This window comes from Homo sapiens, chromosome 10, assembly GCF_000001405.40.
Source record: "Homo sapiens chromosome 10, GRCh38.p14 Primary Assembly".
NCBI lineage: Eukaryota > Metazoa > Chordata > Mammalia > Primates > Hominidae > Homo > Homo sapiens.
In genome coordinates, this window is record NC_000010.11 from 13,845,050 (window position 1) to 13,861,308 (window position 16,259).

Below are 16,259 nucleotides of genomic sequence, written 5' to 3' on the forward strand. Positions count from 1 at the left end.
AGTATCATTTTAATATAAAGCCTTAAGGATGGGGTCATTTACATGATACTGGGACGCAACCATTGAAATCATGTTTTCTATTTTATCCCCAAGAATGATGACTGATTTGACATCACTGGAGCACAAAACCTAGTCCACTTATTTAGATGGTAATCTGAACTCAGTATGAACACATGTGCATATATATTCTGCCTGTCATCCTATGACCTTGACACATGAGTTATATATGGCGTTGGAGGGATGAGCAGTAATCACCAGTGTTCATGAAAAGATCAGGGGATGATGTGTTGGAGATCTGGAAGGTTGGGCAGTTAAGACATTTTTTGATGGACTGTCAACCCATCACTTTTCAAGTGAACTGATACTGAACTCTACGACTACTCCATGAAGCCTTGCATGAAATCGTATAGAAGACCAGATTATTAGGGATAATAGCACCATAAATTATGTAGCACTTAATAGTCTCTTAAATGCTTTCCTCAAAAGCCAAGGTAGTTAACATTCCCATTTTACACACGAGGTAGCAAAGGCCAGTGACTTGCCTGGGTTACCATAGCTACTAAGCAGTCTGGCCGAGGCCTCTGATCCCAGCCTAAGAGATGCCCATGTTGTGCCAGACAGTCTTGGGGGCGCTTCAGATGTTCTAGTGAATTTAACCCTAATCACAAGTCTATGAGGCAGGTACTAGTTTCAATTTACAGAGAAAATTAGAGCAGCAAGACAGGAGGCAGCCAGTGTTCTCCGTTTACAGATGAAGAAACTGAAGGTTAAGGAGGTTGTGCAAATGGCCAAGGTCACGAAGCTGTCAAGCATCAGAGTCAGGTTTTGAAGCCAACCCAACCGGCCCCAGAGCCTGTGCTCTCAGCGTGCTGGAACCTGCTGGTCCTCTGCATTCAGGTGGCCTGGTTTTGAATCAGTTCTCCCATTTGCTGTACAACTCTGAATAAGTTACTTTACTTCTCTGTGCCCCAATTTCCTCATCTGAAAAAATGGGAATAATAACAGTTACCTACCTCATAGAGTTGTGGGGCTGAAAAGATGACTCAGCACATATTAAACGCTTAGAACAGAGTCTGGTACAAAAATAAGCGTTCAATTAGCTAATATGATGATTAATCACTAAGCTATATAATTTCCCAAAGCATTTGAAATATGGTGTATAAAATTCAGGTTCAATCTATTAGGTTGGTGCCAAAGTAATTGTGGTTTTTGCCATTACTTTTAATGCAATTACTTTCGCACCAACTAATACATTGAACTTTTCAGGAATGTGTTTGCTTATTAGCATAAAGGATGCTTACATTTTCTATCATCTGGTTTCTACCTAAAGCAGAGATTTGCAAACCCACAGGAGTCTGCTGAGATCCCCGCAGAGCCTCCCTGTCAGTGGGCTTGGGGGTGAAGGTGATGGGGTTCAGACCTTCTCCATGTGCTGATATTGGACAAAGAATTTTGCAGCAAAAAGAAGTTTGAGAATCGTTGGTCTACAAGACTCTATAGTAGGGTCACATGGTGGCTTCTGTCCATTACTATGGATGCAACTCCCTGCAATTGTAAAGTTCAAGGCCCCAGCTCCGCTGGGCAGAGTGTGGTGACTGTAATGGCATAGGGCCTGCCCAGAGAGTAGGTGGTTTGGGCACAACTGTACTCCTCACCTCTCTGATACACTGTCTCTCGTAAACAGCTCACAGTCATATCATGGAGGAACTCGAGAGTCAAAGAGAGCAATCCAATAGTATGGGCTGTTGATGGCTCCTGAGCAGGGGTAAGTCATGAAGGAGCCTGGAAGGATGGATACTCTGGTTGTGTCATATAGGACAAACGGGGATGGCCAGGAACATGGAACTAGGCAGGGTGGCAAGGAGCTGCTCTGGTGACAATGGGCACACAGAGGATGCTGAGTCCAGGGTGGCAAATGTCTACACTGGGGCATGTATTGGAGAGGAGAAGGAAAGTTGTTCCCTTACCAGTGAAAAAACAGGCAAGACTTAAGGATGTCATTGATGGGCACAGAAAAAAATTTCCTGGCTTCTAAAGCCTGGCCAATTTGGAGAACTGTGGGCTTGCTTTCAAAGCAGGTGCAAGAACAAGATGACCCGGGTTGGAGGAGGAGTAGGAATGATGGGCTTCGGTTGCCATGAGGTGCTGGGGCTGCCACCGAGGTGTTCAGTCACAAAGACCTAGTGGGCGGCCCCAGGGGTGGGACAGGGGCTCTGGCAAAATATGGAAATCTTCCACATGGCTTTGACAGCTGAACTCTCAGCTCTGTGCTGGGCAAGCCAGGAAGCCACAAACAGAGATTCAAGGGCGATAGGGAAGGCCCGCTGGGGTAGAAGACTCAGAGAAAAATACAGAGCAGCTGAGATTTCCCCAGACCGTTCGCTTCCTCCCTCCACCACCAGGGATACCTGGCCAGGCTGCACTCCTCTCTCAGGGGAGGGGCTCGCTCGCTCCCTCCCTCCTTCCCTCCCTCCCTTCCTCCCTTCCTCCCTTCCTTCCTTCCACTGGATGGGACAAGTTGCAGCAGAGGCTGCCAGATGAGTAAATCTGCCTCCTCATGTCCTCCTGGATCCCCTTACAAGAAAGGACAGGGTCCAGCGGGTGGGATGTGTGGACAAGGGAAGCCATTCCAGGCACAGCAGAGCTGAGGAAGAACACTCAGCCCATTTTAGGAAACGGAAGAACCAGCCACTCCTGGACTCGTAAAAAGTTCTGCAACCAAAATAATCATTGACCACCTCTAGACAGGAACTCCTAACCCAAATAAACGGATGCTTAGATCTGCATAGCACAGCGGTAGACAAATAATAAATATTTACCAAACAAGCAAGAACTTGAATTAAGCAATGTGCCCAAAATCAAACTGTGAGTTATGGATTAATAAAAACGATGACAGCCACAGATTTGTTACCCCTTGGGTCCCTGTGACCCCATCCTTATGCTCTACATAGAGGTGTGTGCACACGTGTGTGCCTTTCCCCTGTAAATACAGTCGTTTGCATTTTGCAGAACTGCATTGTGAGTTGAGTTTGTTTTAATCTCCCCAATCCCTTCTTATCCCCCATTAGCAGAAAGACAGAAACTAGGAGCATGTAGTTTAATGTCCTATCCTGAGGCTCCCATCTGCACAGAGTCTCCTATGGGGCACCATAGAGAGGACATGGAAAGGATTTTGTGAAGATATCACGGAAAAAATAACTCAGTAGTAAAAGAAACAACCACCTGCAATGTTCTGGAGGGCTAAGTCTTCTCTCCCTTTTTTTCTCTCTCCCTTTACGTTTGAGCCACATGAAATTGTCCCCTTAGCAGGACAAAGTCTGCCAAATATTGGCAATTTCAAATGGTTTCAATGAATACATTTTACAACAGGTTAAAATTGGCATCAAAGGGACAAGGAGCACAGACATGGAGGTGGTCCAGGAAGAAGGGGGAGGGGGGCAGGGGCGCAAAGAAGGGGTGTTGCCAGGCAACTGGCAGCGTGGACCCATTAGGCTGGGGAGATGGGGATGGTCTCTTCTCCTCTCCTCAACCAGCACCTGGGTGTGAGTGTGTGTGTGTACGTGTGTGTGTGTGTGTGTGTGTGTGTGTGTAAACGCGGCAGGGGGTTCCCTAGATGATCGCATCAATCTGCTGTATCCTGATGCTCAGCCCTCTCTCACAGCCTCTTGGGGAGACTGGAATTCCCCTTTGTTCTAACCAGGGCAGAAAGAAAGCTTACCGACTTTTCTACAAAGGCCTTGGCTGAAGAAGGAAGATGGATCGTGTCTCCTCCCTCCTTACCAAGGGGGAAACGACTTAGCTGCTTGTGCTCCCCAAGAGTATGTTTTATGGACTATTTCTTATTCCTCTCCATCACTCAATGCGTTTTTTATTACAAATAGATTTACCATTGCGTTATCTGTCTGTGCTCTATATCTTACCATGTCTTTCTTCACCATGTGCTTTTCAAATGTTAAATATTATCAGCCACCCCTGGGGGCTGGGAAGACATCTGTTTTGCTCATTTGGTGGAGTGCCCAGCTTTGCAGAGAGGAGCCTAATAAATGATGATGGGATCGCAGTGAGGTGTGAGGTCAGCCCAAAGTGGGGCTGCCTGAACCCCTTTGGCTCTTGTTTCAGGAGGTGGCCTGGTGGCCTGGGAGGTCCCGGACAGAAGGTTCATAACACTGAGTCCCTCTGTCTGCTCCCAGCTTCTGCACACGCCTTCCCAGCCCTTGGCTGTGACAGAAACTCCTGGTGGATTCAGACCAGACAGGAGCAGATGGCAGACCTGGAGCACGCCTCGGTAGATGGCCCAGCAGGCAGACCACAATGAGCCCACCTGCCCACACTACTCAGTTGGGAAGACACGGAATCAACTCCATATTCTCTGCTTGGCAACATGCACTTTGGGGGGGATTCCTGCTTTACTTGGTAGAAAACAATCTCCTGCATTTTTTTTTTTTTTTTGATACGGAGTTCGCTCTTGTTGCCCAGGCTAGAGTGCAATGGTGCGATCTTGGCTCACTGCAACCTCCATCTCCCACGTTCAAGGGATTCTCCTGCCTCAGCCTCCCGAGTAGCTGGGATACAGGCATGCACCACCATGCCCGGCTAATTTTGTATTTTTAGTAGAGACGGGCTTTCACCATGTTGGTCAGGCTGGTCTCAAAGTCCCGACCTCAGGTGACCCACCCGCCTCGGCCTCCCAAAGTGTTGGGATTACAGGTGTGAGCCACAGCACCTGGCCATCTCTTGCATTTTTGCAGAATATCATTAACCACAGAAGTTGCTAAGGCTGGGCTATGAGGGTGAATATAAACATGGGTGTGCACCTGTGCATAGAGAATCCAAGTTTAGGCCGGGCGCAGTGGCTCATACCTGTAATCCCAGCATTTGGGAGGCCGAGGTGGGTGGATCACCTGAGATCAGGAGTTCGAGACCAGCCTGGCCAACATGGTGAAATCCCGCCTCTACTAAAAATAAAAAAATAAGCTGTGGGTGGTGGCAGGTGCCTGTAATCCCAGCTACTTGGGAGGCTGAGGCAGGAGAAGCACTTGAACCCAGGAGGCTGAGGCAGGAGAATTGCTTGAACCCAGGAGGTGGAGGTTGCAATAAGCCAGTAAGCCGAGATTACACCACTGCACCCCAGCCTGGGTGACAGAGTGAGGCTCCATCTCAAAAAAAAAGAGAACCAAGTTTATTCACCTATTTTAGGTAAGATTATTACAGTTCTAGATTTTTAAAAAGTCATACATTTTTTTTTCTAGCCCATAATAGCCCAGACTATTTACTTGCCCTCAGTGCTATTTTACTGACAGCCCATATTAATGTACTCGACCTTTAAGATGGGATATCACCAGCATCGCTGTCAGACAGAGGAAAGTGACAGGAAGGCGACCATTATTTCATCCACTGCTGTGGAAGTGTCTTCCACACCTGCTAGCCCGAGACTTACGCAGGACGCACAAGTCCTTCATGAGGATGTGTCACATGTTTCAGGCTTTCCCAGATAGGTTAGGAAGTGAGTTCACAGGAATGAAATGACCTGGGTAAGCCCATCTTCCATTGCAGACCTGAGATAAGGTTCGAAGTCTTTGGTTGCCATCGTTTATGGCTCTGGTGTCAGGGGCTGGCAGAGGAGCATATTCCAGGTGAACTATTAATAGATCATATCTTGTGAATCTTGGGTTTTTATTATATATACTGGTTATGGTGCAGTGAAAAGAGAATGGGCTATACTATCAGAGGACCTATGCTCGAGCTACCTATACTTCACTAGCTACGTGACCTTGAGCAAGTTATTTAATCTTTCTGAATTTCTGTTTGCTTGGCACCTACTTTACACAGTTACTGTGAGGATTAAATAAGATATGCTCCATATAAATTCTATAAAGAATTGTAGGCCAGGTGTAGTGGCTCATGCCTGTAATCCCAGCACTTTGGGAGGCCAAGGCGGGTGGATCACCTGAGATCAGGAGTTTCAGAGAAGCCTGGCCAACACAGTGAAATCCCGTCTTTACAAACACACAAAAATTAGCCGGGCATGATGGCGGGTGCCTGTAATCCCAGCAACTCTGGAGGCTGAGGTGGGAAAATCACTTGAACCCGGGAGGCAGAGGTTGCCGTGAGCAGAGATCACGTCACTGCACTCCAGCCTGGGCGACAGAGTGAGACTTCGTCTCAAAACAAAACAAAAAAAGAAAAAGAAAAAGAAAAAGAATTGTAAAATGTAGTCATTATTGTGCCAAACATCCAGTATTATATCTGGGTAACCCCAAACAATTCGATTGCCTTCATAATATTTTCTCTAGCTTAAATTGTTTTCTATCTTCTATAGCAGGAATCCCCAACCCCTGGGCCATGGACTGGTACCAGTCTATGGCCTGTTAGGAATGGGGCTGCACAGCAGGAGATGAGCAGCGAGAGAAGCTTCACCTATACTTATAGCCTCTCCCCATTGCTTGCATTACTGCCTGAGCCCCACCTCCTGTCAGATCAGCAGCAGCATTAGATTCTCGCAGGAGTCCAAACCCTACGGTGAACTATACACGTGAGGGATCTAGTTTGCACACTCCTTATAAGAATCTAGGCCAGGCGTGGTGGCTCACACCTGTAATCCCAGCATTTTGGGAGGCCGAGGCGGGTGGATCATGAGGTCAGGAGATTGAGACTGTCCTGGCCAACATGGTGAAACCCTGTCTCTACTAAAAATACAAAAATTAGTTGGGTGTGGTGGCGCCTGCCTGTAATCCCAGCCACTCAGGAGGCTGAGGCAGGAGAATCGCTTGAACTCAGGAGGCGAAGGTTACAGTGAGCTGAGATTGCACCACTTCACTCCAGCCTGGTGACAAAGCAAGACTCTGTCTCAAAAATTAAAAAAAAAAAAAAGATTCTAATGCCTGATGCCCATCACTCACATGTGGGACCATCTAGTTGCAGGAAAACAAGCTCAGGGCTCCCACTGATTTGACATTATGGTGAGCTGTAGAATTATTTCATTATATGTTACAATGTAGTAATCATGGAAATAAAGTGCACAATAAATGTAATATGCTTGAATCATCCTGAAACCATACCTCCCACACCCCATCTGTGGAAAAATTGTCTTTCATGAAACCAGTCCCTGGTGCCAAAAGGTTTGGGCCTACTGCTCTAGAAATAGCCATCCAAAAGAAATACAACGTGAGCCACAAAAGTTAGCCCAATATAAGATTTTAATTTTTTTTTTTTTGAGATGGAGTCTTGCTCTGTTGCTGGGCTGGAGTGCAGTGGCGTGACCTCGACTCACTGCAACTTCCACCTCCCAGGTTCAAGTGATTCCCTTGCCTCAGCCTCCCGAGTAGCTGGGACTACAGGCGCACGCCACCATGCCTGGTAGAGACAGGGTTTCAGCATGTTGGCCAGGATGGTCTTGATCTCCTGACCTCATGATCTGCCCACCTCAGCCTCCCAAAGTGCTGGGATTACAGGCATGAGCCACCACACCTGGACCAAGATTTTAATTTTTTTAGCCATATTTAAAAAGTTTAAAGGTGAAATTTATTGTATATTTATTTTATCTTAATATATCCAAAATATTATCATTTTAACACGGACTCACCAAGGCAAAAATTATTTACAAGACATTTTACTTAAGTTTCATAGGAAGTCTTCACAAGCTGGTGTGTGATTTATACTTGCTCACAGCTGGCGTGTGATTTATGCTTGCACACAGCTGGCGTGTGATTTATACTTGCATACATCTCCATTTGCACTGGCCACATTTTGCTCAATGGCCACATGTGGCTGGTGGCTACTGTACCACGAGGTGCAGCTTAGATCTTTCCAAATGCTTCTGTCTTGGTTATGAGGAGATTATGTCTCCTCATAATCTCAGGATTATGAGCCCTGGGTAAGACATGGCAATAATCTAACTGTTATCTTTAATTCCCTTAGAAAACACAGACTAGTCACAGTTTGCTCCACTTCTTGGAATCATAGGGACGCTTTGTTCCTCTATTTGCACACAGTGGACAGTTGTAAATGTCTTGCCAATGGCCACTAAGGGACTGGGTCAGAGGGGAGAGATGTGGAAATCCTAGGGCAGCTTGGAACTTGGAAAGGAGACTCACATCATGCGGCAGCTCCCTGGAGAAAGCAAGGTGCGAGGTTCACTGTGGCAGAATTGAGGGGATGGAGAGCACTCCTATGTGTAAAGCTCTTATCATCAAAGGGAAGAAGGGCCGGGCGTGTTGGCAGTGGCTCACGCCTGCCATCTTAACACTTTGAGAAGGAAAGGACCAAGGCAGGAGAATCACTTGGGATCTGGAGTTGGAGACCAGCCTGGGCAGCAGAGGGAGACCCTGTCTCTCTAAAAATTTAAAAAATTAGCAATGCACATCTGTTAGCCCCAGCTACTGGAGAGGCTGAGATGGGAGGATCACTTGAGCCCAGAAGGTTGAGGTTGCAGTGAGCTGTAATCGCACCACTGCACCACAGCTGGTTGATAGAGCGAGACCCTGCCTGAAAAAAAAGTGGGGGCCAGGTGTGGTGGTTCACACCTGTAATCCCAGCACTTTGTGGGAGGCTGTTGTGGGTGGGTCACCTGAGGTCAGGAATTCCAGACCAGCCTCGTCAACACGGCGCAACCCTGTCTCTACTAAAAATACAAAAGTAGCTGGGCATGGTGATGCAGGCCTGTAGTCCCAGCTACTCGGGAGGCTGAGACAGGAGATCGTTTGAACCCAGGAAGTGGAGGTTGCAGTGAGCCAAGATTGCACCACTGCACTCTAGCCTGGGCGATAGAGCAAGACTCTCTCAAAAAAAAAAAAAAAAAAAAAAAACCCAAAAAGTGGGGATGGGGAAGAAATTCGGCCAACCATTCATCTAAAGTGATGGGGAGAAGCACTGAAACGAAGCCTGTCTAGCAGTAGAAGGTCAGGTCGGTTTTTCTGGCACTGGGCAGGCTCCCTGTGAGACAGGATATCTACAGTCTCACAAGCCTCAAGAGAACCAAATAAGGAAGGGCCACACCTCAGCCATTCCATTCTAGTGAAAATCCACTCTATTTTTATGAAGGTCAAGAGAAAGAGTCCAGAATCTTTCCTACTAACGGCTTCCTGTACCCCATCTAGCAACTCTCACTGTCCGGAAATTCTTACTTAAATCATTCTCACTATGGCTAAAGCACACTTCCCTTTCTCTGCTCTCAACATACTCCCCCAAATATACATTCGGGTCAGAGAATAAATGAAGAAAATAATTTTCAAGGAGCAAGGATATGACAACGAGACTTAGGGAGTTCGGCTGACCATAAAACATGCTCCGCCCCCCATATCTGGCTATAGCGTCCTCCAGAAGGTTCCAAGACTGCGATGAGGGTGGCTCCTCTCATTTTGATGAAGGCTTTTTTTCTTTTTTTCAGGTGGGGGACAAAGTCTTGCTCTGTCGCCCAGGCTGGAGTGCAGTGGTGTGATCTTGGCTCACTGCAACCTCCGCCTCCCAGGTTCAAGTGATTCTCCTGTCTCATCTTCCCAAGTAGCTGGGATTACAGGCGTGCACAACCACACCGAGCTATTTTTTTTTTTTTTTTTGTATTTTTAGTAGAGGCAGGGTTTCACCATGTTGGCCAGGCTGGTCTCGAACTCCTGACCTCAAGTGATCCACTCTCCTTGGCCTCCCAAAGTGCTGGGATTACAGGTGTAAGCCACTGCATCCGGCCTGATAAAGGCTTTTTTTAAAGTACATTTCCAACTGGTGGAAACAATTTTGGAAGACAGAGCAGAAGATGCTGTCTGTGGGCTGAACTGCAGGGCAATCTGTCTATGCAACCTGCATGTGTCCACAACCAAGGCTGCAGGCATGCTCTGGGGCTGAATGCTCACGTCACCTTCCAGCTGCTCTTAAGTGGAATTTCAGGACTTAAGGAGCTACCTGGTAAAGACGTGGGTGTCAGGAAATTGCCTGTGGATTTAGGGATGAGCGTCTCAAATATTAATTCCTAGTATGTCACTCTTGACTGTTTGCCCTCCCCTACTGTGAGTAACGTATGATCTACTCAGAGCAATAGAGGATTTGGAAGCACAGATTTCACTTGGTAATCTCAAAGTGCTATATGGAATAAGCATGAAACATTAGGATGACAGGCATTTTTTCTCTGCAACCCAAAGAAGGGAAATGTTATGCTCGGAGTGGCCGAGTTTACAGTGCTGCATGAAATTATCTGTGTGGTTGTCTGCTTACTGCATCCTCCTGGCAAGAGGCAAATGGGGAGTCGGTTTGGATGCCGTCAGCTTTCTCGCCCAACACTGATGCCATAGAAGCTCCTCTGTGTCTGAAGATCTGAGGTATAGCCTTTGATGAGTATGCTATCCTCATAGTGGGTAAAAACTAACCTCCCCAATCTGCCCCATCTTATTAATATCTTTCAGTCAGCCACCCTCATGCACACCCATTTACTTCTCTGGGGGAGAGAAACACTTGCTCTAAACCTGACTCTCCATGTTACAAACCTTGTCAGGTCAATGTAGGTGTCTTTCCCACCCATCCCCATTTCTACAGCTCCAGGTCAAAAGATCAGGAAAGGCATTGCTTTGTCTAAGGCTTATTACAAATGTTCTGAAATTATTCTTAACAATATCAGTCTCAGTGTTTAATATATTTTGATGACTAAAGTATAAATGAACCTGAAGGCTACCACTCTCTGAATGTAAAATATGAAATAGTTTAGGTCAAATGTTTTATTAAAAACCTAGAGGTGGGTCCAGATGAGCTAGAGAATCCAGATTCCCTTTAGAAAGGATACTGCCCAACAGATAGAATCCTGGGCAACAGAATTTTGCAGAGGAGAAAAAAAAGAGTGATAGATTTAAGCTGCCTTTCATTCAGTAGTTTTAATTTTGTTTCTCCAAGTTTTGCTAAAGCCCATTCTGCAATTAATTTAGAACCTTTCCATATATATAAATATAAATATATATATGTATTTAGCTTACCACACACAAATACTATCTATCTATCTATCTATCTATCTATCTATCTATCTATCTATCTATGTATACATAGATACACGCACTATCAATGCCTAGATAAATAGTGCGTGTATCTATCTATGTATAGGTAGTGTGTATATCTCTCAGTGTGTAGATAGATTGTGTGTGTATCTATGTATAGGTAGATAGTGTGTGTATCTATAGATGGATTTTGTGCAAGTGTGTGTGTGTGTGTGTGTGTGTGTGTGTGTGTGTGTGTGTGTTAAGCTAAATCCTCTGTGAAGCAACTGGTACTCTGGCAAGAAGTCTTTGGGGGAAGTCATGTCAAGACATCTTAGGTTTGTCCATTCTTTCATTCAACAAGTCTTTATTTAGTGACATTATGTGCCTGACCCTGGGCTAGGTACTGGGGATACACCATGATGGAGACACAGATCTAGCCCTCAAACTGTTGGGGGCTCCAGGAAGTGATAACAAGTACACAACCAATCACAGCGAGGTGTGGCCATGTCATAAGAAAGAAACGCAGTACAGACTAGGCGGAGGGGGTCAGGGAAAGCCTTGGTGGAGGGTGTCTTCCAATTTGTGATGTAAAGACCTAAGAGAGACCAGCCAGGTCCAGGGCGCGGGGGTGTGGGAAGGAGCGTGTTCTAGGAAGAGAGAATAACACAGGAAGCCTGTTCTATAAAGCAGTGGAAAGAACATGAACTTCTCTCGTTCGCCTAATTCAACATTTTCTTGATTTTATAGGGTTGAGGACAACTGTTCCCAAACTGCACACATCAGTAATTAAATCTATTTTTTTCTGAAAGCAGGCTGGCCAAGAGATAGTTTCTAAACTGCCATTTGAGGTCTCATTTCCTATTCCAGAAGGTGGCTTCTTTCTAAACCTCCAAGCTTTGATTCAGGAAAAGCATGTAAAATACACCAGACCACTCGCCTATAAACTCTTCGCACTGAGTCTTGGCAATTTGAAGCTTCAAATGTTTCTCAGTTAACGATTCTGCTAATTAACGAGATCTCACTCAATTTGATGGTTTCCCTTTATTGCCTCATTCTTCCAAATTCAAACCACAAATTTGACTTTTAATGACTTTAGGCCATAGAGTCTAGCCTAAAACAGCCGTAATCTAAAATGCAGGAGAACCCTATATATAGGGATATGTTAATCACAGCATTTACTTGTAATAGTGGTAAAATTTTTTTTTTTAAATCCCTTAAATATACTCAAATGGGGAAATGATTAGATAATAATGGTATATCAATTTCTAGAATTTATGCAGCTGTTCAGGAGAATGACAATTTACAGTATTACCATAACTTAGAAAATGTTAGCGAAAGACAATGGTAAGTGGAAAAGGAAAAATAAGATATGTAGAATTATACATGTACTATGATTACAGCCATGCAAGAAATATAAATATGAAAAATGCTGGAAAGAAATCCACCAAAAAGGGAACAACACTTGAATTAGTGTCATGTGCTTATGAGCCTTTTTCCTATTTTCTGTTTCCTATATTGCATTTATAAAGCCTTTATCATTTGAATCCTATTAAAAGTATTCACTCAAAGTCAGCAGTTTGAACATTTTCAATTCCAAGCAGCATGTACAAGGCAACGCAAGACGAAAGTGTCTGCATGCGAGTTTCCCCTTCGAAGTAGCATCACTTCCCCCATGAGCAGATGGCATCCTCTCAACTCACTGATGAACTGCAGCTTCCTCACAACAAAATGTGATAGAGAATGAGACACAATGCTCTAGGACTTGGAGATAGACATCTAAGAATAAACAGCAAGCAAATGTAATAAAAATTGGCATTGAACAACAGATCTGGAATGGTAAACTTTTAAAGTCAGAGTTGGAGACACCATTCTTTAGAGCTTTGGGTCAAACAATGGTCTGTTTAAGAACAAGTTGAAAAAGGTGAGGGTCTATGATTCCAATTACTTCTCCAATTTTGCTGACACTGATGTGTTCTTAGTTGGAATTGATTGATTTCCTGCATCTCAGTTTCTCCAGATGCTCACAAGTGATGCCAATGTCAACTCATGAGATGGGGTAAGAAGGGGGTCGCTTAGCACTTAGAAAGAGGACCGAGTACAGAGATTGTTCCTCTTTAATCTCAACTGGAAAAGAAAAGAACAAACCTTTAGGCCAGGCACAGTGGCTCATGTCTATAATCCCAGCACTTTGGGAGGCCGAGGCAGGCAGATCACCTGAGGTCAGGAGTTCCAGACCAGTCTGACCAGCATGGAGAAACCCCGTCTCAACTAAAAATATAAAAAATTAGCCAGGAATGGTGGCACATGCCTGTAATCCCAGCTACTTGGGAGGCTGAGGCAGGAGAATCGCTTGAACCTGGGAGGCAGAGGTTGCAGTGAGCTGAGATCGTGCCACTGCACTTCAGTCTGGGCAACAAGAGCGAGACTCTGTCTCAAAACAAAACAAAACAAAAAAACAAACAAAAAGAACCAAACCTTTTTCTATCCCCTCTGAGCAAGGAAGACTAAATCAATTTTAGTTACAGCAAGAGTTACTTAGGTTACATTGTAGTTAACTCCTTCCAGGCAGAAAGAATAGCTAAGGGCATTGTGGAATTTCCTTTTCTAGAAATTTGTAACAATAGGGTAGATGTACATCTGGCCTTGGATGCCTTAGGCTGGTGTACAGATACAACCAAAATAGCACACACACAAAACACCCTGGTGGGTCCTAGTCATTCTCTCACAGATATTAACAGAGATTTAAAAACAGTTTACCAAATCCCCCTTCATCCCCAGCTGGATCAAGGTCTGAAACCACATCAGTCACCAAAGAAACTCAGAAAGTTGACCAAAAGCGATTTACCTGTACTAGGAGTTCCAGCTTCCTGTCATCAAGAAGATGTACTTGACATCGGCGGCCCTCCGTCATCTAAGAGGGAAGAGAAATGGTAGTCACTGAGAGTCTAGCAGCCAGACAAAGGGTTAGAGGGTCGCCGACGCTGCACTCTGCCAGGCATATTCCTCTGGGCAAAACTTCCTCTGGGAGTCGGCACTGTATAATGCCAGGAGTTGGAAGGATCAGTTCATTCATTCATTCAAAAATATCTATTGAGGCCGGGCGCGGTGGCTCACGCCTGTAATCCCAGTACTTTAGGAGGCCAAGGTGGGCGGATCACCTGAGGTCAGGAGTTTGAGACCAACCTGGAGCCTGACTAACATGGAGAAACCCCGTCTCTACTAAAAATACAAAATTAGCCGGGCGTGGTGGTGCATACCTGTAATCCCAGCTACTTGGGAGGCTGAGGCAGGAGAATCGCTTGAACCCAGGAGGTGGAGGTTGCAGTGAGCCGAGATCGCGCCACTGCACTCCAGCCTGGGCAACAAGAGCAAAACTCCCTTTCAAAAAAAAGAAAATATCAATTGAGCACTTTCTATATGCCAGGCACTTTTCTGGGAGCTGGGTGTACCACAGCACACAAGACAAAGTTCCCATCCTCATGGAGCTTATATTCTAATAAGGGAGATGTAAAATAAATTAGCAAATATATATATAACATATTCTCAGGGGTGGTGGGTGTTGTTCATTCTTCACTTATTCTTCCATTCAATAATTGTACCCGCATGCATTAGGGACACAGCTCAGGATCCAATCTCTGTCTCCTCTTCATTTATCCCACTTGCTGGTAACCAGAAAGCAGATGACCACCCACCTGGCAATGAATTTGATTTCTGTGTTAGTTAATCGGCCCCCTCCTTGTGTATGACCTGATTCCCTACAGCGCTGTCACCAATAATAGAAAAGCACTGGCGATATGAACCCACAGGCAAATCCAACCCCGTCCCTTGTGCCTTTCAGGACTGAAATCTCTGAGTGGTATAACAGGAAGCCTGGGAGACCCAAGTCTAGTGTTGGTCCTGCTGCTTACAAGGGGCTGCAGGACTCTGGACAAGTTACCGTTCGTCTCCATGCCCCTGTCTCATATCCAAAAATAAATGGGCCGAGCCCAGTGGGGTGCTGGTGAATATTTAACAACTGGCTTTCTGGAAGGAAAAAGCCTGATTTGTAGCATTTGCTGGAGCCTGGCATCACCCTCAAAGGAAATCCTTTGAAGAACAAGCCTTCTCATGGATGTCAACTGGTGACTGTCCTAACCATAAACTGTCTTGCTGCACTCTAAATACCTTTACTGCGTCCGATTTCAAGCCACTGTCATGACAACACTGCTAGTAATTCCAACATACAGACACGATAGACAAACATAGCCTCAAGCTCATAGAAAACAGTTAAGTGCCATAAAAATAATTAGGAAGGGATAGATTTTTATTATCTTTGTTTGTTAACACCATGTGTTTAAGCATGTGTACATAATTTCATTTTAACAATGGCTATGCTTTATAATTGGCACCCCACATTCCTGAAAATGTAGCAATTGGCTCTCCCAGGCTAGTATGAAATAGCTCCAACGCTCCTCTCTGGACCAGATGACACATAAGTTTCCTTCCTTGTATTTCTTTAGAGGAAATCCTTTAGAGAACTCAATGCCTATTTTATATGACTGTATAGTCCCCATTAAATACAGTTCTTTTCCCCTGTATTTAGTGGCTAACCGGCCGCTTTAAGCAGATCTAAAGAAAGGATGCGCATCAGTAGATCCTGGCCCTGTCTCCTTGTCCAGCCATGAGGGTCCTTCTCATAAATCTTTCCTCAAGGAAAGATAAAAAAGACAGTCTCAGATGAGACACAATCTTGCCTTTACACACTTAGCACAGTGCCTGGCCCTAAGGGAGCTCTTGTTTTAATTTAATTTTTTTTTAGACAGAGTCTTGCTCTGTTGTCCAGGCTGGGGTGCAGTGGTATGATCTTAACTCACTGCAACCTCCACTTCCCAGGCTCTAGCGATACTCCCACCTCAGCCTCCTGAGTAGCTGGGACTACAGAGCAGTCTCGTTTCTCTCATGCGCCACGGGACGTACCAACTCTCCAGGCTAAGAATAACGCTGACATTTCTCAAGGCCTGTTAGGTTTGGAACTGCTATCCTGATGAGAATGAGCGTCTCTGCAAATGGAAGCAGGTGGCAGCACAGTCGCGGGCCGAAGGTGCCTACTGCACTCACGGCTCAGTCCCACCCAGTGGCCAGCCACCCTGCGTCCTTCGTGACCCTCTCCTCGACCCTGAGCTCCTGGAGACCAGGAGTTATGGACTGGATTGTGTTCCCCTAAAACTCATATGGTGAAGCCCTAACCCCCAATGTATTTGCAGGTACGGCAAGATTAAACAAATAACAAGAAAAGATAGTCTCTTCTCTTCTGGTTCAACAGGGATT

General features: G+C 45.4%; 1 protein-coding gene across 3 annotated transcripts in view; it reads right to left on the reverse strand.

Moving 5' to 3' along the window:
- The window catches only part of FRMD4A (FERM domain containing 4A), a 687,219-nt gene that overhangs the window by 201,344 nt on the left and 469,616 nt on the right, over positions 1-16,259 (reverse strand). For all 3 annotated transcript variants that reach the window (NM_018027.5, NM_001318336.2, NM_001318337.2), the window contains one exon: positions 13,798-13,863. In NM_018027.5, the coding sequence (NP_060497.3) occupies positions 13,798-13,863 (66 nt within the window). The remainder of the gene's footprint in view (positions 1-13,797; positions 13,864-16,259) is intronic.